Source organism: Homo sapiens, chromosome 8 (genome assembly GCF_000001405.40).
Source record: "Homo sapiens chromosome 8, GRCh38.p14 Primary Assembly".
In the NCBI taxonomy this organism is placed as follows: Eukaryota; Metazoa; Chordata; class Mammalia; order Primates; family Hominidae; genus Homo; species Homo sapiens.
Window position 1 is genome coordinate 88,055,052 of NC_000008.11, and position 22,317 is coordinate 88,077,368.

Below are 22,317 nucleotides of genomic sequence, written 5' to 3' on the forward strand. Positions count from 1 at the left end.
ATTTAATTAAAATTTGATTTTTTATATTTTTAAATATTTATTTAAATTAATACAAATATAGGCTTCAACTTACATATATTCCATTTGTAATATCTGTTAACAAATGGGCAGGGCTAGGGCTATATCTGCCTAAAAGCTACTGTAAGGGTTTTTTTATTTTATTTTTTTGTTTTTGAGACAGGGTCGCACTCTGTTGTCCAGACTGGAGTACAGTGACACAATCTCAGCTCACTGCAGCCTTTGCCTCCCTGGTTCAAGTGATTCTCATGCCTCAGCCTCCCAAGTAGCTGGAATTACAAGCATGTGCCAAAACGCCTGGCTAATTTTTATATTTTTAGTAGAGACGGGGTTTCGCCATGTTGGCCAGGCTGGTCTCGAACTCCTGAGCTCAAGTGATCCACCCACCTTGGCCTCGCAAAATGCTGGGATTACAGGCATGAGCCAACACGCCCAGCCTTACTGTAAGTTTTAAAGTAACAATTCTCTCTCATTTTGTGAACACTGTTAGCAATATCACAAAAGGAAAAAAATAAGAGAGTAAAATAGTTGGGAAAAAATATTATACTTCAAGCTAAAAGTAATTAGCCCAGTGATAGTTTGACTATGGTAGCTTCTTAAGAAATAGAATCTGTGACTAAACTGAAATTATTTGGAAGTCTTCACAATTTATTGTACACAAAGTATAAAAATTTAACTTTGAGTGTGAAAACACAAAAATCCTGTGCTTGAAAGTATTTTTTTTCTAAACAAAGTAAGTAAAATTCCCCAAAAGATGCATTGCAAGGATACATATATACACTGCTTACATAGCATTATGGGCATGTTACAATTATGGGGAAATGAAAAAAAACATATGCTAGGTATACACATTCATAAGAAAGTCACATTAGCTGAATATATTAGAGAAAGATTTATCTTAAATATTATTTGAAATGTAAAACAATTTTTAATTGCATTAACTCCTGTGTTAAATCCACCAGGATTCTTCAACAGCTGATGCCTCTGATAGACTAGAAATGCTGATTTTCTAAACATTGGTTAATTAACTGTTTTTCTCATGAGAAGTGTATACTGACCTGTCTCCCTTGAAGAAATAGGTTTTCCCGACGTCCTCCCACCAAATGGCTGAATCAATACCATGAGGGGGAATTCCACTTCCAAGGGTTATCAAGTCATGAGGGTAACCAGGTTGAAGAGTTGTATCCTTGAACACCCAATATTTGTTACCTGTATGGAATAAGTGTAAATGTAGAATATATTAATTTAATGTCATAATTAGAATATATCTATTAACACATTTAAAATTATATTAAATACATATTATACATTTAAAATTATACTAAATATATATTATATTAAATACTTGAAATAAGTTATTAGTTGTCCCATCTGGAATATTAATGTTATCTTTGAAATATCATTCAGAAGTGGATATAATGAATACTTTATTAATATAATAATATAACCAAAATTTGTGAGTGAATTTAAAAAATAAAATAGATCTATAACTTTGCCATAAAGAAACAATTCTGAGTCAAGGATGAAGGATTCTTCCCCTAAGAATTAGAGGTCCTACGTCTTTTTCAAGGCTAAATCATTCCTGTATTTTGAGCAACGGGTATGCCCTCAGATTGGCTTAGTGATTATAACTTCTACTTGACTGAAACACCTCCTCTGGGCTGGTCCTTTTCTCTGATTATGTAAATGTTCACAAGTCTCCCTAGTCTTATACATTCATCCTCCCTTGACCTCATGCCCTCTTATAACTGTTAACTCTATTCATGTCTTTAAGAGTGGTAACTGAGGGGAGGAAAATTTTAACCTTAACCATGTTTGGAATTGCTGGAGCATGGCATGATGATACTAAAAAGCAGACAAAAGCAGACAGGCTTTAGTCAGTTTTATTGCTGTTTGACAATTCTCTACAGACAGCACATATCCTCATGCCCTCCCTGTGCCCCTGGCTGACTGTGCCCACCACTTCCCTTTCTGGTATGCCTATCAAGTTTCAGTCCACTGAAGCTTTTTGTTCTGGAGTCACCAATGCCCTCCAACTAAAAAATTTTCCACCCTTATCTATTGACACTATTGACCACCTTAAGTACTTTCCTCTCTGAGCTGTGAGAAAACCATTTTCTTTTGTTTTGTTTGTTCTCTAGCTGCTCCTTTCTGGGCTTATTGTATTTTACTCAGCCCTTGAATGTTATTGTTTCCTAGGACTCTGTTCTCTGCTCTCCTCTTCTTATCCTAAATAAGGAAGGGCCACAAACTCAAATAACTACAGGGGCCAGGTTAGGGATGATAGTAGTAGTGCAGTATCTCCACTAATATTAAGATATTTCCATAAAAGTCAGTAAACACCCATTACCCTAAAATTGTATTTCCCTCCTTCCCCAAGTCCTCTTCTCCTGGGGCTTCTGAAACATTCTACAATCCAGCATTGTCTTGGATCTCTAGCACCTCCTGGGGTTAATATCTGGCAAAGTAAGGTGTCCCAACGTCCTTTCTACAATATTTCAAAACCACCCACAGATAAGGACTATGATAAACCGTAGCTTTCATGTAATACCTAAGGGTCTTCAAAAAATTTTAAAAACGTGCTCTCAACACAAAATAAGCAAACAAAAACCACACATCTTTAGGCTAAATTTAGTTAGGAGTTTCTAGTTTGTAACCATGGGTAATCTCATTTACTCCAAGAGCTTCTACTACCATTTGATACCATTTAAGTTAAAACAACATTTATTGAGTATCTTCAAGCATCCCAAGTATCATGCCAGGTACTAAGGATACCACAGAGGATAAGAAACCTGATCGCTACCCTGATCATCCTACATGACAGCAGAAGAAGCAGATGAAAACCAAATATACACATATATAACTTCAGTAATTGAAAAACTACTGAAGGCTTGAAAACAAAAAACAGAGGTTGAGGAAAAAAATAAAGGGAACTTACTTTAAGTAAAAAGGTCAGGGAAGACCTCTCTGAAGAAATACACCAAAATCTAAAGAAAGAGAAGGTAATAAATATGCAAAGAATATTGGGAAGTGCATTCAGAGCAGAGGACAGTCTGGGATGATCAACAAATTGAAAGAAGATCAGTAATTTGTAATAAGCAAGTATAAAATCTTTGCAAATCAACATAATGAGTTGGAATCTTACTTAGAGTGTACTGGAGGCCATCAAGGAGATTAAGTTTGTGTTGGGTTGTGATTGGTTTTATATTTTAAAATGATTTTTGGAGACAAATGGATTATAAAGGGAAGAATGAAAATAAGATGACCCATCAAGAGTCTTTGGCAAGAATTAATTGAATCATTCACTCAATAATTACTTAGTACATGTACCAGGCACTGTTGTAGGCACTACTGATAGAGAAGTGAACCAGAAGGTCAACATCTCTATCTCATGAAGCTTAGATATCAGTGAGTGAGTATGAATCAAACAGATGAATAAATTAAAACTTCAGAAAGCAAAGTGCTATACAAATGGAGAAAGAAAAAAGGATATTAAGGTGACAGTGATGGGATTTGGGGCTACTTTGTATTAGATGCAGGAGAGATCTCTTTATTCAACTGTGACATATAATTCAAAGGAGCCAGACCACTGAAGATTGTTTGAGGTAAAAGAAACATAAAGAATAAATGCCATAATGGGAAGAAGCTTATTGTGCAGCTAGAATAGAGTGTGATAGGAGTGTATAATGATAGAGGTGAGGATCATGTAACCCCTGTAGGAGTTGAACTTTATTCTAAATGAAATAGGAAGTCATTGAACAGTTAAATCAAAAAGTTCTTTGACAGTGGTTTGGACCAACACAGCAGAAATAGAGATGGAAAGGATAAAATAAAGTCAGGACATATTTTGGAGATGGAATTGATAGGCATTGCCAAGGGAAATAAAATAAAGATAATATTAAGAATGATCTTCAAGTTCTGGCTTGTGTAGATAAGTGAATAACAGTGTTATTTAGTAAGACAAGACTAAAGGTGAATGGGCTGTTGGAAGTTTAAATCAAGAGTCTGAGATGTCAATGAGATATCTACATAAAGAAGTCATGTAGGCAACCAGGTATGTCAGTTTGAAAATAAGTTTGTAAGACACAAGCATATATGTGGCATTTATAAATTTAGGATGTGTTGAGATTATCCTGGGATGAGTATACACAGAAGATAAAGAGTAACCAGAACTGGACTTCTAGAAATCCATGATCATTAGAAAAGATCACATAAAGGAAGAGGGAAGAGGAGGCACATCAGGAGAAAGAAGAGGCAGTGTTAAAGACAAAAGTAAAAGAAAACATCAGAAGGCAAAAAGAAAAAAGTGTAGTCATAAATGACTATCTCTGATCCAAATATCTCTTGAAAGCCAACTAGTATCTATAGTTATCTGATGGGATTTTCTACAAAGTCCAAATTTGAACTCATCTGAATACCTTTCTTATTTTCCCTCTTTGGGTAGATGGAATACTAGTTATTCGTGGCTGACATCAGAAACATCCTTGTTCCTCATTTTCCATATTTAATGGATCATTACATTCAGCTGATTTCAATTCCTAACTCTCACTTATAACTGTCCTTTGAAGGCTGTTCTTTTTACCAATGGTCCTTTATATCATCCCTTCCATCGTCCCTTCTAAAGGTAATACTATCACTGTAAGACTAGAGCCAGTCAAAATGCTGTGCTGCAGAGTAAGCTATGGAGACATGGCTTCATCTGATAAGCAGAGATAAGCAGAACCATCCATGTCTCTCTCTTGGGAAGATGACCCAGAGAACACCGAGAGATTTTCCCTCTAAGCAGGGGAAATTGACTATTTTTATATAATACGAAGCCTGAGAAGCCAAGATGGCCAGAGGAAGCAGATATTAAGAGGAGGCAGAAATTGAATAAAAGAGATGGACTGAAAGAGAAAAGAGAATGAGAAGAGATAAAAAAAAAAAAAGTGATACAAGGAGCAAAGCTATGAATGGGAGAGGGGCCAGCAGGCAAGTGTAGCAAGTTCCTGGCTGTCTGAGTTTCTGTTACACACCCACTCCTTACCATAAGTTCCCCATAAGCTCAATTAACCTTACTGGGTTTATTTTTCTTTTAACTGAATGAGACTGTTCAACGTAAAATTGTGAACAATCAAATATCATGTAAGTGGTTAGGTACATCTGAGCCCAAGCCTGTTGGCCAGAATCCTAGCTTTAGCCAATGGTACCATGCTGTCTTCCAGCCATGAGACTTAAGAGAAACCTGTGTATTTCCTAGCTTATGTTATTTCAACAGTTTCCTTTCTCGTTTTCCTGTCTCCAGCCAGTCTCCTTTTTATCTATCCTCCACAAAGTCAAGAAAGGGATTTCTTGAAAATGCATACTTGATTTTTGCCTCTCTTTTGTTTAAAAATTTCAGTGGTTTCTTATTGCATTCAGGATAAAACCCAAATTCATTATATGTCATTTCAAGGTTCCTTTCAGTACGGGTGTCTTATCTCATCTACATTCCACTTATCTCCATTTATGGAAAACTAGGATGACACTTTCAAAACTTAGCTTAGCACGATTTCTCTGAAAAGCATTTCCTATCTGAGTATGATGGGCACCTTACATTGCCAAATTACCGGCATTTACCTTCATCTTATTACTTAGTACATTGTACCTTGATGAATCACAAGCCTGCCACCCACTCTAGGGTGTGAATAACTTGAGGAAAAACACTACATCGAACACATTATTTTCGTGTAGCACCTCATGTATAGTGTTTGGAAAGTAGGTGCTTAATAAATAAATAGTTACTGATGCAAAGAACCATGTTTAATATTACATGGCTACTCAAATATAGGATCAAAAATCTAACAAAAGGCACAATAAAGGCTACATAAATAACATTGAGGGCATTAGTTTGGAATCTTGTTAGTACAGCAAGAAAGAAAAATTTTACAACCACTAGCAAGAGTGGGAAAATATAAGGCATGCCTTGGTATTGTGCTGAAAAATCATTTATTTAAGTGATTATATTTAACCAAGTGTTGGGAAATATGGTCATAAAAATGCAAACTTACCCCGAGCCCTTGTATAATCTGAATATTATACACACACACACACACACACACACACACACACACACACACACACCCCTCATCCTAAAGGCCCAGATCACTTCCTTGCCAGAGTCAGTGAGTTGGAAAATCCAGAAAGCTGTTTCACAGCATGCTCTATATTTTAGTCAAATCCCTGTGGCATTAAAATAGAAAGTCTTAAAACAATAGAAGAAAGAGAAAGAAAGGCCTCTTCTGTTGGCCTATACCTCAGTGACTTATTGCACCCTTTCCTTTCATCTCCTTTTTAATTAGGAAGGAGTATGCAGTTTCAATGCCTCTCATGCTAGCTATTTAGGGTACATCTTGTGTCAGCTCAACTCAGTTGGTTGTCCCTTTCAAGCAGAAGCATTCTAGTATGCTTTTGATCACTTCCTTTTGCAGCTCCTAAATTTGCTTATCATTTGCATGATAATTTCTTCCAGGCTTTTTTTAGTGATGACACTAGGCTCATCAATAACCAGGATGCCCTGGTGCATGGAGCAGGAGAAATGGTTCACAGAAGCTTAGTTTATATGTAGTCCCGGTGTCTCAGTAGAGGATAATGTGTGAAAAAAGAAAAGGAATTACAGTTCTTATAGGAAATTGTTATTATTCTACTTAAAAAACTGTTATTGTTGCTGTTTATAAAAACTATGCATTGAAAATACTTTCCTGTACTGTTGGTCTAGTATTTTCCATACACAAAAGGGAGAAATAATCAGTCTTTCACTTTTTAATGATCAAGTCCTTTGTATAAAACAGCTCAATCAGCTTTTTTTTTTTTCTTAACCTGCTAGGAAAAATGTACTTATATTCCCTTTATGAAAACAAAGCAAAATAGAGAGCTTATCAGTAAACATTTGCTATAAAGTTGCATGACAGAATTCCAGCAGTTATTCTCACAAAATTAAGAAATACCACCTTGCCTGCTGAGTATCTGTGGCATAGAATTCATGGAAATAACTCAATAATAATTATGAGTGATAACATTTAATTTTCTGAGTGTTTATTGAGAAAATACAATTATACAATTCCTTTTGTATCTTGATGAGTTAAGATTTTCATATGAAAAAACTGAAATGGTTGAACTAGTTACTGTAAACTAGTTCAACCATTGTGGAAGACAGTGTGGCGATTCCTCAAGGATCTAGAACTAGAAATACCATTTGACCCAGCCATCCCATTATTGGGCATATACTCAAAGGATTATAAATCATGCTGCTATAAAGACATATGCACACGTATGTTTATTGTGGCACTATTCACAATAGCAAAGACTTGGAACCAACCCAAATGTCCAACAATGACAGACTGGATTAAGAAAATGTGGCACATATACACCATGGAATACTATGCAGCCATAAAAAAGGATGAGTTCATGTCCTTTGTAGGGACGTGGATGAAGCTGGAAACCATCATTCTCAGCAAACTATCGCAAGGACAAAAAACCAAACACTGCTTGTTCTCACTCATAGGTGGGAATTGAACAATGAGAACACTTGGACACAGGAAGGGGAACATCACACACCGGGGCCTGTTGTGGGGTGGGGGGAGTGGGGAGGGATAGCATTAGGAGATATACCTAATGTAAATGACGAGTTAATGGGTGCAGCACACCAACATGGCACAAGTATACATATGTAACAAACCTGCATGTTGTGCACATGTACCCTACAACTTAAAGTATAATAAAAAAAATTAAAAAAGAAGAAAAAACGTAAATGACTTTGTTTCTACTTTTCAGTTTTTCAGTTAAGTATGTAAGATTCATATTTGACTTTTTTTACTGTACATATGACAGGTGGTTTTTTAACTACCCTACCATCAGACAGTCTGGGTCTCAAGGAAAATATTGCCTTTTTGGCAGAATGTAAGTATTCCCTGGATTTCATATGAGGTTGACATATTCTGGAGCAAGTGGAAAAAACTAGTTCTTACTGACATTGTACTTGGCAGAATGCAGAGGAAAATATCAACAAGTTAGAACTAAAGGCCAAAAGGTTTTATAAATAGAATAGCTTTAAAAATGTTTAGAGTTGGAGAGGACTTTATAGATCATCTATTGCAGTGATTTTTCAATGATATTCATCTATCCATCCATCTATTCAATGGATGGATGACATTCAATCATCCATCTATTCCATCTATTCATCCGTCTATTCTCCTATTCAATGTCTGTTTATTATGAGCCTATTATAGTCTGTCAGTCAACCAGGAGCTGCAGAAACACTGATGAAGGCAACACAAAAAGTTCCTGTCTTTGTGGAACAGACTAGCAGAGAAAATAGACAGTCAACAAATAATCCCAAAAAGAATTTTTAAATTAAATGCTGTTCCTATCAGGAAACATGCAGTACCTAATAACCTTTTTTTTTTTTTTTTCAGAAGGACAATGCTTACTCTGGAGGTTAAGATTTCTACCTGCTTTTTGACTCCCTTGAACTGAGCCACTGTTAATGATAGGAGTGCATTATATTGTTCAGATGTACCGGATCAGAAAAGTGGCTGATAATCCAGCCTAACGCATTCATTTATTTTACAGGTCAAAGAAGTGGTGTGTCTAAAGCCACACCGCCAGGTGCTAATGGGTTTTTACTGCGGTCCAGGCCTCTTGATTCAGTGCTTATCTTACTATGCAAAATTGACTCTCAGAACAGAACAAGTTCACACTCTGGCTTTCAGAATTGCTAATGATTCCCTGCTTCTTCCCTCCTTTATCAACTCATCACCTAACATTTTTAATGGGAGTGTTTATCAATTAACCCACTGTATTCGGCTCATGCTTGTTCACTGTATCCTGAGTAGTCAGATATCCTTTGTGCCTTATTACTAAGGAAATTAAAAAAAATCAACTGTATTTTTGTCTCCTCAAAACTATTCATACATTTATATTTTGTGTCTTCTATTACAGCAGTGGTCAGTGAAGGAGGACCACTAGCTGCCACCTGTTCTTGTAAATCACACTTTACCAGCAAACAGCCACACCTATTTATTTACATATTGTGTATGGCTGCTTTTACCTTGCAATGAAAGAGTTCAGTAGTTAATGACAGAGTCCACATGGTGCACAAAGCAGAAAGTATTTACTATGTAGTTTTTTACAGGAAAGATTAGAAAACAAATTCCTTAACGGTTTGATTTTCTTCATAACACAGAAGTCTGTGCATAGAATAGTCAGTAAATATTGTTTATTGGGCTGATTACTGTTCACCATTTATATATTCTTTGAGAAAACATCAGGGAATTTAAAACATTTTTATAAATAATCAATATTTTATTTGTTAGATTATGTTATTTAATGGGGCATTCAATAGCTTTGAAGTCAGAACTAGGGGGTGACAGCTCTACCAATAACCAGCTGTAAGATCCTGGGCAAGTCATGAATCTGAGCTTTCCTTTCATAATTTGTACATAGGATGCTAACTTAATGCTCGCTTGGAATTCGGGAAATAATGAGAGATCAAATACACTCACACTGTAGGTGCCTCAGGCTGTCCCAATAAATGGTTATAACACAGTATTTCACTGATCAAATTTGCTTATCACCTACTCAAATAAATAAATGATACCAATAATAAACAAGTAACACTAATCTCTATTTGGGCTCAATATTTGGAGTATGTTTTAATTTCTATATTGTTTATAGATAGGTTGCTCAGGAAACTTGAATAAATGCCCAACTCTTGAGGTCATATGACTTTTTGTTAGTAGCATTTTGTTTTCCAGATTCCACAATATTATCTAGCAAGCAGAGAATTTTGAATGCTTGTGCAAGTGTGGTTGCCGCTGAGGTGTGCAGCTCAGGACTTCCTTAGAGAAAGAAACTATCATCAGCTGAGTGCCTTTGGGTCTGATGCATCAGTTGGGCCAAGGCTACACTCTTCTTCAGCAGCCTCCCACCAAAGACTGATCACAGCAGAGTACTAAAGCCTGGCCATTTTTGCTCTGCATGTGAGTCCTCTAAGAGGCATTCTTTGATGTGAAGCTTGGCATCGGGTTCACCAAGACTTTGTCACCTGCTGCTAATCCTGCCTTGTCCCCTTTAATCTTTCACATATTTACCTTCTTCCCTGACAAACCTCTCAACCTCCTAACTTGGTCTCAGTGTCTGCTTTCTGGGGAACTCTACAGGGCACAACAAACAAAGTGATGTTATAACAGTTTTTGAAAATAAGGAAAACTTTTAGATACACAAGTAATATTGACAGGAAAATATTGCAGCTTTAAATATAAATGAAAATAGACATAATAAAACTATACTATGGAGTTTTTGAATCATTTTAATAAGTAGAGGTATATTAGCAATTAGAGTTTCAAATATTAAACATTTGGACCTATGTTTTAGATGATCATTTCAACATAAAATATTAATACTAAAATTCCATAAATATTTATAATTCAAAAAATAGCACTATTTGCTTGGTCTAAATCTATTTTCACATATACCAAGACTACTAAATATAAATTCCTTAATCTAGTATAACTTTTTATACATCAATCTTCTGTTACATCCTATAAAGAAATAAATAATCATTGTACTCACCTATTTATAGAAAATGTTTCTTTTACGTTACCTATTTATTGTACTATGTAAGAAACAATGTATTTCGACCTCAAATGAACTTCATGAATACTCCCTAAACCTTTCAAGAAAAAGAATTTGTGAGCAGCATAAAGAAATTGCCTGTTTATGAGGACTCATTTGAAATAAAATAACAATTAAAGTCATATAAACCATTTCTTAACAAACAGTTCTTTTCTTTGCCATTTTCCAGCACCGAGTATTTTAGACAACTCCTCTCTTTTGATACACATCTTGTGTATGCCATTTTTATTCCCAAATTTTACTGCCGTCCTCTTTTCTGCCTCATATATTTTAGTTTCTATTCCACAAGTGATTTGTGTCTCTTGAAATGAAACTGCCAACCAGGGTAATAAGTACTGCTTAAAGTTATTAAGTCATAGCAACAGTTTGAATTTTGAGACAACCTTTCAGCTACTTGATTTTATTTTGACTGTTACTGATTCTGACAACACTAGCATCTTTGTTTTAAAATTTGTTTCCAATTCTTGAAAGAGATTGCACCAGCTCAATTTTTAAGACAGCTTTTTTGATACTATTATCTCATAACCATTCAGTCTTAACATGCCTAGTAATTGAGAATGTACACCTGGCTTGATTATGCTTACAAAATGTTACTCTTTATATGGGATATACCTGAGTGATGGAAAGATAGCTAACTAGCACAAAGTGTGGAGTACATTCAGTTGCTGGGAAAAAAAAACATATTACTTCCTCGAGGTGTGATACATTTTCTATTTCTGGGTCTCTCTAAATAAAAAACAAACACCTTATGAGCATAAAGGAGAACGACTCAGTGTTACTTACTAAATATCAAATAGAGGAATAAATAGGTCTATTCAGGCATCACAACTGTAAATGGTGCTAACTGATAGTCACATACACCAAATGGCTGACTTTCAGTAAGAAAGCCCTGTGGGTTTGTACATCTACACTCTCACTCAACAGCAAGCAACTTAATCAGTGAAGGGAGACATTATACACTGGCTTCTTTAAAAAAACAAAAACAGCAGCAAAAAAAACCCACCCCACACATGTCTACACATGCGAGGTTGAAAGAAAAAGTATCTAAAATACTTGTCCACTTACTTGTACCGATAATCATTTCACAAAAATTTGAGGGATCTGATGCAAAATGTGATACAAAGAGAAAACATAAATTAAAAACAAACAAAAATAAGATGAGAAATTACAGAGCAAAAATAAAATACAGATAAAGAATATAAAATAACAGTGACAAAATTATTCAAAATGTGGGCATCAAAATTTTTTTGGTAGTTATTTCCAAGATGACCACTTAGTAGAGAATACTTTATAATCATTATAAGTTATAGCATCTAAAATTAAATTGAGATCATAGAATATTTATAATATTTCTTCAGTAAGTGGATGAGTTATTTACTAAAACTTAATTAAATGTTCTTTCTACTATTGTCTAATTAAATGTTCTTTCTACTATTGTCAAAATACTAAAACTTTAACGTAGAGGGGAAAGTTGCTGGGGAATGAATGCATCTCAGCTATGAGGGTACATTGCACTTGATTATCAACGGGCTCAACTAAGAAACTAAAACTGAAATAGTATTAATTTGGATATTCATAATCAACATGCTCTGGAACAACGAAGGAATCAAATTGTACTACCTATGTCATCAGTATATTTAAATGTATGAAATATTTCGTAATTGATTCCAACATAAACTTATGCACTTAGTAAAGCTTCTTGTTAAAAAAACAGTCTTATTGTGGTATAACTGACATTCAATAAATTTAATGTGTATAATTTATTAAGTTTTGACATATGTACATAGCTATCAAAGTATTGACATAATCAAGAAAATGAACATTTCATCATTCTGAGAAGTTTTCTTCACACCCAACTCTTGCCTGTCCCCAGGGAACCAATGAGGCACTTTTTATCACTATAGATCAGTTTGTATTTTCTAAAATTTAATACAAATGTTATAATACAGTATGTACTCTTGTTTTGTCTGAATTATTTCACAGCAAAATTATTTTGAGCTTCATCCATATTGTAATGTGAATCAGTACTTCATTCCTTTTTATTGCTGAATAGTCTTCCATTTTATGGATATATCGCAGTTTACTCATTTACCTGTTGAGAGTATCTGAATTATTTCCAGTTTTGTGTTATCACAAATATAGCTGCTTTGAATATTCATGTAGAGGTCTTTGATTACACATAAGTTTTCATTTTTCTTGGGAAAATACCAAGGGTAAAATGGCTGGATTATACAGTAGCTGTGTATTTTACTTTTAAAGAAAACTGCCAAAATGTTTTCCAGAGTATACAATTTTACTTTCTATTAGCAATATATGACAGTTACAGTTCCTTCATAATCCTGCCAATACTTGGTATGGTCAGTCATTTATGTGTTAGCCATTCTATCAGGTGTGTAGTGGTATTTCATTGTGGTTTTAATTTACATTTCCCTAATGACTAATAATGTAAAGCATCTTTTCATGAGCTCATTTGACATCCATCTATGATTCTTGGTAAAGCTTTTGTTCAATACTCTGTTCATTTTTATTGAGTTGTTTGTTTTCTTTTTATTGAGTTTTGAGTGTTCTTTATATATTGTGAATAAAAATCCTTCATCATATACTTGGCTTGCAAATAATGTACTCTAACTGAGGCTTTTTATTCACTTAAAAGTGTCTTTGAAGGGTAGAATTTTTAAATTGTCTGATATATCAATTTTTCTTTTATAGATTATGATTTTGCATGATATCTAAGAAATTTTTGCACAGATTAAGGTCACAAACTTTTGTATCCTATGTTTTATCTAGGAGTTTTATAGATTCAGCCTTTACATTTAGGTTAGGACCATATTTTCGTATAGTACAGGATGTGAATTGGAGGTTTGTTTTGTTTTGTTTTTTTACATGTATCTTTGTCAAAAATTACTTGTCCATATATGTTTTGAGTCTTGATTATTATAGCTTTAAAATAAGACTTGAAATCAAGTAGTATTTTCTTTTTTCTTTCTTTGTTTTTTTGAGACAGAGTCTTGCTCTATCACCCAGGCTGGAGTGCAGGGACATGATCTTGGCTTACTGCAACCTCTGCCTCCCGGGATCAAGAGATTCTCTTGTCTCAGCCTCCCGAGTGGCTGGGATTGCAGAAGCCTGCCACCAAGCCTGGCTAATTTTTATATTTTTAGTAGAGCTGGGATTTCACCATGTTGGCCAGGCTGGTCTTGAACTCCTGACCTCGAGTGATCCACTTGCCTCCCCCTCCCAAAGTACTGGGATCACAGGCGTGAGCCACCTTACCCGGCCAAAATCAAGTAGCATTTCCAAAGTGGTTTTGTCTATACTAGGCTCTTTGTATCTGTATATATGAATTTTAGAATCAGCTTGACCATTACTACAAAAGTGCCTGCAAGTATTTCGATCGGGATTGCACTGAATGTCAACATAAATCTGGTGATAAATGTCATTGTAATAATACTGAACCCTCTGACCCATGAATGAGGCATATCTGTCCAGCTATTTAGGCCTCTTTACTTTCATTTAGTAGTGTTTTGTTGTTTTCAATGTAGAGGTCATGCACATTTTTTTGCAGATTGATCCCTCGGTATTTGGTGTTTACGAATGCAATTGTAAATGGCCTTTTATTTTAAATTTTCAATTCCTGATTGTTCTTTGTTAGTATGTGATGGAAGATAATTCTTCATAGGTCTTGTGCTTTTCAGTTTGTCTTGAGAGCACAGGCACTGACTGCCTTTGTTCTAGAATCCATTTCCAATGGTATTTGTAGAGCCAACCATCTTGGATTATAGATAGAGTGTCTCCCTTCACTGCAAAGGAAAGGTTTGTTTACTGTCCAGTATGATGAAGAAAGTATCTCCTTTCAGTGAAAAATTTAGGCAGGCTTATTGCTAATTATAGAAAATTTAGGTACTTTAATTCATTGTTCCTTTCTTGCAATGAGACTAATTTCATGTAAGGTGTCAACTCCTTTTAGTATCACACTTTTAAAGTGTGGGGTTTAGGGAACAAGTTCAGATGACTATACTATGGCTACTGCTTTTGATTTCCATCCTTTTCTCTAACTCAGGAATCTCATGTCTTCTGTCAACATCCATAAGCATAAGGCAGGCTAATAGGCTTTTATTAGCTTACAAATAAGATAAAATCTCAGACCCTTTACAGTTCTTGAAAATATACAGAAATACAATTAAATGTTTACTAATGTTCTTAGATTTTGTAACTTTGAGAGACACACTTACCAATTCTGGAAGCTTTTTGATTGACTGCAATCCTATCTCTTTCTACATAGACAATTATCTCCATGGATACAGTTTTACTTCTGTTTTATATCAATCAGATTGTCTATAAATACAGCATTATTTCTTTCCAATCTAAAATATTTTTATTTATTTCACTAGATAAAACTTGTTACAGTGTTGAACAGACCTGATATAAACATCTTTGTCTTGTTCCTGATCTTTTGGGGTATGCAAGATACTGTGAATTTTACCTTGTTGGGTCAGTATCTCTGTATCCCTATAAATATTCTTGAGCTTTGTTCTAGGACTCTTATTTGGAAACCATTTGATTGCTTCAGGTCTTACTTTGAAGATTTGTTAAGTGGAATTCAAGCAGGGATATTTCTAGGATAATTATTCCCCACTACTGAGGTAAGGCCCTTTTCAATACTCTATCCAAAGCCTATGAACAGGTGGTTGGGGGCAGCCGGTACTATGGCCCTCCGTGAGTGTCAGGCACTGCTCCTTTTGTTCCCACTGATTGGTTCCTTTTCTAGATTTGAGTAGTTTCCTTATAGACATGAGCTGACCAATACTCTTTCCAATACGTATGGGGGTCCATCTGCTCATCTCTGGGCCATCTTGTGTAGCTCTCTCCTCTATGTTACTTTCTCCTGTGCACTGAAGCTACCTTGTTCTCCCTGAACTCTCAGCTCTGTATCTTCAACTGAGAAAGTCTTCTGAGCTCTGCCTTGGTTCCCCTACGTTGTGCCGCAGCCTGTAAATTATTCAGATGGGAAGCTATGGTAACTTCAGGGCTCACCTCCCTTTATTTCCTGACTCTCAGGATTCAATGTCCTCTGTTTCTTGATACCCAGTGTCTTTGAAAATCATTTTTTAATATAATTTGTCAATTTTTTCCTTGTTTTCAGAAGGAAAGATAAATCTGATCCCCATTATTACTTCTTGGCTGGAAGCAGAATCTACCATTATAGTGCACTATTATGTAATATATTACATTATATTCTGATCTACCATACTTTAACATACTAAAAAGCAGTAAGATTATGTTCAGAATGTAGAATTGGACACACATATAAAGGACAAGTTTTATGTTTTCATAATTTATATACTGACAACTCCCACTTCATATGATATACATGTGCACATATAATTTTGCCCTAGTTCAAAAAATATCTAAATTACACCAAAATATAAATTTTTAATTGTATCTAATGGCTTCTCATTCTTCTTAAGATTTATAAAAGTTTGAATAAATAGGACATGTTATGTTTATGTTTATATCACTAACACAATAGTTATACTTTATAACTAAACATTCATTTATACATATAGTTGAATCCACATCTTCAAATTCTTATGTAAAATGAAAACAAGGTTAATACCTTTAGGTATAATTAATACCTAAGTACCTTTAGGAAATACAGAGTTAAATACATTTATATCCAAACATGGACTTTAGTTAAATAGGGGAATAAAAGACAAAGCTTCTCAAATATATAATAATTGTCTAGCACAGATTGGAAGAAGAAAAAAAAACATAAAAGATGATTTCTGTAGAGAGAGAAGAAGAAAACAAAGATAAATAATGTAAGGCAAAGAGGCTAAATAAAAGAGCAAATTAAAGAAGAATAACATCTAAATCACTAGTAATGTAAATCACAGTCTAATATGGCTGGTATAGGTTGACACCAACTTGTACATGGCTATAAGTACAGGTTGGGGCTTGAATCTTATTCTTGGTTCATTCGATCAATCTTTATTGAGTGTTTACTATATTCCAGGTATTGTTTAAGACAACAAACTATGACCATAGCCTGCTTCTGTATGGCCCATGATCTAAGAATAGTTTTTACATTTTTAAAGTTAGAACACAACACACACAAAAAACAAAGAAAGGTATATAATAGAGACCATATGGGCTGCAAAGCCTAAAATATTCACTATTTTGTCATTACAGAAAAAGTCTGTCAAAGCCCAGTTTAAGATATTGGGGATAAAACAGTGTAAAATAAAAAAAAAATACCTTGCCTTTATGGGATTGATATTCTAGTGGGAAGGATACAGATAACAATTAAAATATATGGTTTGTCAGATGGTACGTGCACAAGTTATGCAGGGAAGGGGATCAGCTGTCAGCAAAGGGGCAGAGATTACCTCATGGCCCATAGAGCAAAATGGGGTGACCACGTGGGATGAGGAATGATGTGGTTATCTGGTCTTTTGAGGGTGATAAGGGCTATAAAGAGAGAGAGTCAAGGAGAAATATTTTGATTGTGATTGTTGTGGTGAGGGTGGTGGAGGGGGTCATTTCACTTCAGAAGCCCAGGGTGCTAGGACTCTCACTCCTCTCCTGCCAGTCATGAGGTAGAGTCTAGGGAAGAGTGTGATCTCACTGGGAACACCCAGAACTTCTGACTCTTTCTCCATAATCAATGCTTTATTGAGCGGGAGAGCTACAGGTCATAGCTGGGCTTTGAGAGGGTTTATTTGAGGGTAAGAGTAAACTGGAGGAAAGAGTTGCCACAGCAGGGTCCTCAAAGTGACAAAATTTATTAGAGTAGGCATTTCCTGAGGTTGACAATGTACCAGAAGAGACCACTGACAAGCACAACATTCTGGTGGTTAGAGAAGTCTGGGACAAAAACGAAATTATTGCTGTTGTAAGCACCACACCATAAGAAACACCATACTGAGTCAAATCAGGATTCAGTGATGTTGCTTTAATTGAAATGTTTATTGAGCACCTACTATGCACCCAACACTTTTAGGAACTGAAAATAAAATGATACGCAGGAAAATATAAACAAGTTCCATCTCTCATGAAATTTCTATTTGAATGCTGTGGGTAATTTCAATTCTTTTACAAATGCTTTGTGCAAGTTAGAAGGTACTACTTACATAGGGTGGGCAGGGAGGCCACTGGAGGACATGCCTTTTATGCTGGCTGTTGAAAGATGAAAAGGAGCTAGCCATGCCACAAGAGAGTGAGGAGCGGCAAAGCGAATAAAAGTGAGAAGGCCCCGAGGCCATAAAGAGCTGTCAGAACACGAATTTATGACTGTGGCAGTTTCGCCTCAGGCAGTTTTGTCAGAGAGCACTACTGGTCCTGTGAGGAGACAGGGCCTCCTGGGACGGTCCCCAAGTGGAAGGCTAGTCGGAACTTAACCTGCCCTTCTTTTTGTTGCTACTACTCATGGGACGCAGGAAGGGTGTAGGAGAGGGGAATTTCCCTCCAATATCATGTCACTAAAATTCACAGCCTTTAGGTGGTATCCTTGCTTTGTCCACTGTGGTGCGGTGCACCGCCACTTTTTTATATGCTTATTATAGACAGCAGGAGGGCAAGAAAATTAATAGCAATCTTACTAGCAGCAGCAGGAATAGCTGGCATTTATTGAGGGCTTATACATGCCAGGCACTTTACATGTAGTAATTAATTTAGTCCTTAAAATCATTTTGAGATGGGGAATAATACAAACTCCATTTTTCAGATTAGGAAACTGAGGGAAAGAGAATTGAGTAGCTTGTTCAGCTGATACAGCTAGTAAGTGTTCAAGGTTGGCAACATGGCCATAAAATTATCATGTTCTTACAGCTAATGGACTAAACTGTCTCTTTTCTTGAGGAACAATCTGTAAAGATAAAGCCCAGGTATATACTTTCATTTGATATAGGTAGTTTGAGCCTCACTTTAAATATTACAAGTGTTTCCCAAATTCCATGTTTTCATTACCCTCACCAATTGCTATTGTAAGCACCATAGCATTATTTTAGTTTGATTCTGGGAATAATTGCTTTTTGAGGGATTAAGATCCCCCTTTTCCTTTCTTCAATCTCTATTCCTGTATAAGCTTATTTTCAGGCCTTTAGGCTCTTGGGTAATATGTTCAACCATAAAGTTTTACACTCTAGTTCTCCTCAGCTTCAGCTCAAATACATTCTCTTCACAATTCCCTCAGTCCTCCAACTCAATCTGCCTCTTGTCCCTGTGTTTTCTTTCACAGATATAAGATTTGTGGTTTTGAATATTAACTAGTTTTGAGAATAAAATAATAGGCAGTTGCCTAAGTTCACTTCATCAGGTAATTTCACTTTTGCTTGCCAGGCAGTTGGTAGTACTTGTGAGATTAAAATTTGGCACTCAGATAAATAACAGACAATACATTTCATGATACTGATAATTGGATAATTCTAAGAATTCCTTGACTTCAGTTCTTAGTTTACTAGAATCTATTTACATAAACTGATTACATCAAGTAAAATTTCAGAGATTATGTATGAAAATAGGAGTGTAATAGATTTTATTACCTAAAACCAGCAAGCAACTCCAAATACTCCAAACAAACAAACAAACCTTTAGTCAGTGCAGAAATGGCTATATATCTATTAATCTTTTTTTTAGTACTTTTAAGTCAAATCTAAAAGTTCTAAGAGAAAGAATATCTCTTAAATCTGACATGAGAATACCGTATGAGAACAAATAAAATAAAAAATGAAAATTATCTTCATTTATATTTCTAGTTAACATAGTTTATTTCATTAAATCCATAGGCTATGTAATCTCATTTCATCACTTTTGTGTGCACCACAGGGTCCTATACAAAATGATTAAAATACAACATAGCCAGATATGGAAAACATCCTTACCTTTAAAGAACACAAAATTCCCGTCGCTATTTTCATAAACTGCATCGATACTAGGAGGCAAGCCCCGCCAGAAGTAAGTAATTTGCATTGGGTATCCATCCATCACCCTGTTGTTTCTCACTCGCCAAAACCACTGGTCCTGCAAACCAAGCAAAGGCATCTCTCAACAAACACGTAGGCCTCCCTGGCATTTCACGGCGCAATGGCTGGACGCTTTTGAAATCAAGCTGGTTTCCTTATTTATTGTCTTACATTAAATCAGTCAGAGAAAGAGCTAAACAACTTGACCGCAATGATCACAAAAATTTTTGTAGTAAACTCCTTAATGTCTAAGCCATACAGTGTGATTTAAAACATAATGTCAACATACTGAATCTTGTCATTTTACATTTTCTCTAGGGCTTTCTAGATGGAGGTAGCACAGAGAAGTCCCTGCCAGATTTGTGGATATGTCAGCTTCTTGAATGTGAGAGCAGCGTTAGGGCCATGCATGCTTCCTAACGTTTTTAAATATATGCAAAATCTCCACACCTACCATGTTGAGGATGAAATAGAGAGTCCACACCTGTCTGTACGCCCCTGTTATGCCTATTGTCTCATATAGTTATAAAGTAGAGCCCTCTTTCATCATTAAATGTATTTTTGGCTGATAACTTTATGCAAGAAAAATAGGCAAAATTATTTTGAAAAAAATAAATCATCGCAGAGGATTCTAGTCTGGATTAATTGCCTTTCCTATCTGCTCTAGTAATACCATGTACTTCATCCAATCATAGCACAAGTCATTTTATATGAAAAGTGTCTATTCATTCTTACCTCTAGTGAAGAACACATGGCTTGACCCATAGCAGGTTTCTATAAAGTTGTTTAATTAATAATTGGCCTACACACAATATGTTTCACCATAATACTTACTAAGGGCAAAAAAACCCAAAAACAAAAACAAACCCTTCAAACCCAAAAAAGGATACATCTGATGACACTAAGTAGTTTTCCATTGAAAATTTGAAATAAATGAAAGGCTACTCAGTGTTTTAACATTTAAAAACTAGGTGTATTTTAAAAATTGATTTTAATACAATTAAAATTTCACTTTATTTTAAATTTCTGTATGTATAAGCAATATTTCACTTGGAAGTTAAGTATATCCACTATTTAGACAAGTATATATCACAAAAATACTTCCATTTTAATTCTCTGCTTTCTTTCTTGCTCTTTTCACACAACTTACATATTATATAAGTGATTTATTTTAGGACCTTCTCATGCTTTTGGCCAACAATATGTTAGCCTGACCAAACTTTCTAGGATTTATCAATTACTCATATATTCATACACACACACACACACACACACACACACACACACACAAAATCTACTGAGGATTCTTGGACTTCAGTTAATATGATAACAATGAACTTTCTTTCACCCAAATGAGTCCGAATATGAACTGTCTTAAGAGCCTTTAATAGTTGAACTTTGTTGTAGTTATCATGCACTGTCTTCTCTACCAACTTCTGTTATTTTTTTTAAAAGGAGGAAATAGCTTAATTAACGACTCTAAGCTCATATGCAATTCTTGTTCTGTCGCCTAACAACTGTGTCACCTTGGTCAATATACTAGTCACTGAGTTAGTACAAACGAATACCTAATTTATAGCATGATTACTGTATAAGATACAAAGAACTTTCTGAGAACCTGGCACAGACTAGTACCAACATTTTTGGTTGTTATTATTGTTAAAATTATATTGAAACGAGTTATCTACTTTCCCTCTTCATATTCCTGTTTACAGTTTTGTCTCTTGTTCATTGTTTCCTCTTTGGATGTCAGCTATACTACAGTCCCAGCCACGTATCTCATTCCAACCAATTTGTAAAAAATGTTTTTCTCCTTTTCTTGATAATTTTCATGGTGCTAGGTGGCCTGGATTAATAATGTTTTGATCCATATGCAGTAGATTTTCAAATACAATTTCATATAAAGATTGATTCAGATAAATATACAGGGGCATGAAAATCAAGAGTTCACTGCAAATAAAATATGTCGGTGATATTCTAATCACTTAAAAGAAAAAACAGAATTTTTGTCTAGATATAACAAGGGCTTCTAACTGGGTGTTAAAACCTTGCCAATCTCCAAATAAAGTATTCTTAAGTTATTGTAATGTATATGCCAAAATAATTAGTAGAAATGAATAAACAAATGGATTCTGATAAAGAAATAACTGACCATGACTATATATGAAACAGAAAGCTCTCCAAGCTGAAGAATGGGAGGAAATCTGGTGAAAAAACCTGGACTACATTCCAGTTTTTCCCACAAAAGCCCTTCCCATTGCTATAATCTCACCACATATGGAGCCGGGCCAGTGGCTTTACTGGACAGACACATGTTGCAGTCTGCAGATAGGAATACAACCCCAACTTGCCACTAATAAGGGGAGAAGTAAAAGTTCTGTCTCGAGATAAGCATAGTCAATTTGCAAAAATTCAGAAGGTCATGTGAAACTGCAGATGAATTCCACTGGTTTTTGTTGACAGCAGCCTTGGCAGAGAGTCATATAAATTACAGATATTCAGGTTGTGCCTCTATTCAACTTATCCTCAGTTTAGCAGACAGCAGTGGTACAAATAATTTAGAAAGCATCTGTCACAGTGGATGTAAACTCATGTCATGGTTACTATAGACTGCCATTTCAGAAATAGGGTTTGTGAACAATTCATAGAGAAAAGATACTTAAAATGCTATCTAGGTCTCTGT

The 22,317-nt window shown here is 35.3% G+C and overlaps 1 protein-coding gene across 2 annotated transcripts in view; it reads right to left on the reverse strand.

Annotated features, from left to right (window-relative positions):
• The window catches only part of MMP16 (matrix metallopeptidase 16), a 295,473-nt gene that overhangs the window by 23,041 nt on the left and 250,115 nt on the right, over positions 1–22,317 (reverse strand). For both annotated transcript variants that reach the window (NM_005941.5, XM_024447154.2), the window contains 2 exons: positions 19,554–19,692; positions 1,077–1,227 (listed from right to left, as the gene is read on the reverse strand). In NM_005941.5, coding sequence (NP_005932.2) covers positions 1,077–1,227; positions 19,554–19,692 — 290 coding nt within the window. The remainder of the gene's footprint in view (positions 1–1,076; positions 1,228–19,553; positions 19,693–22,317) is intronic.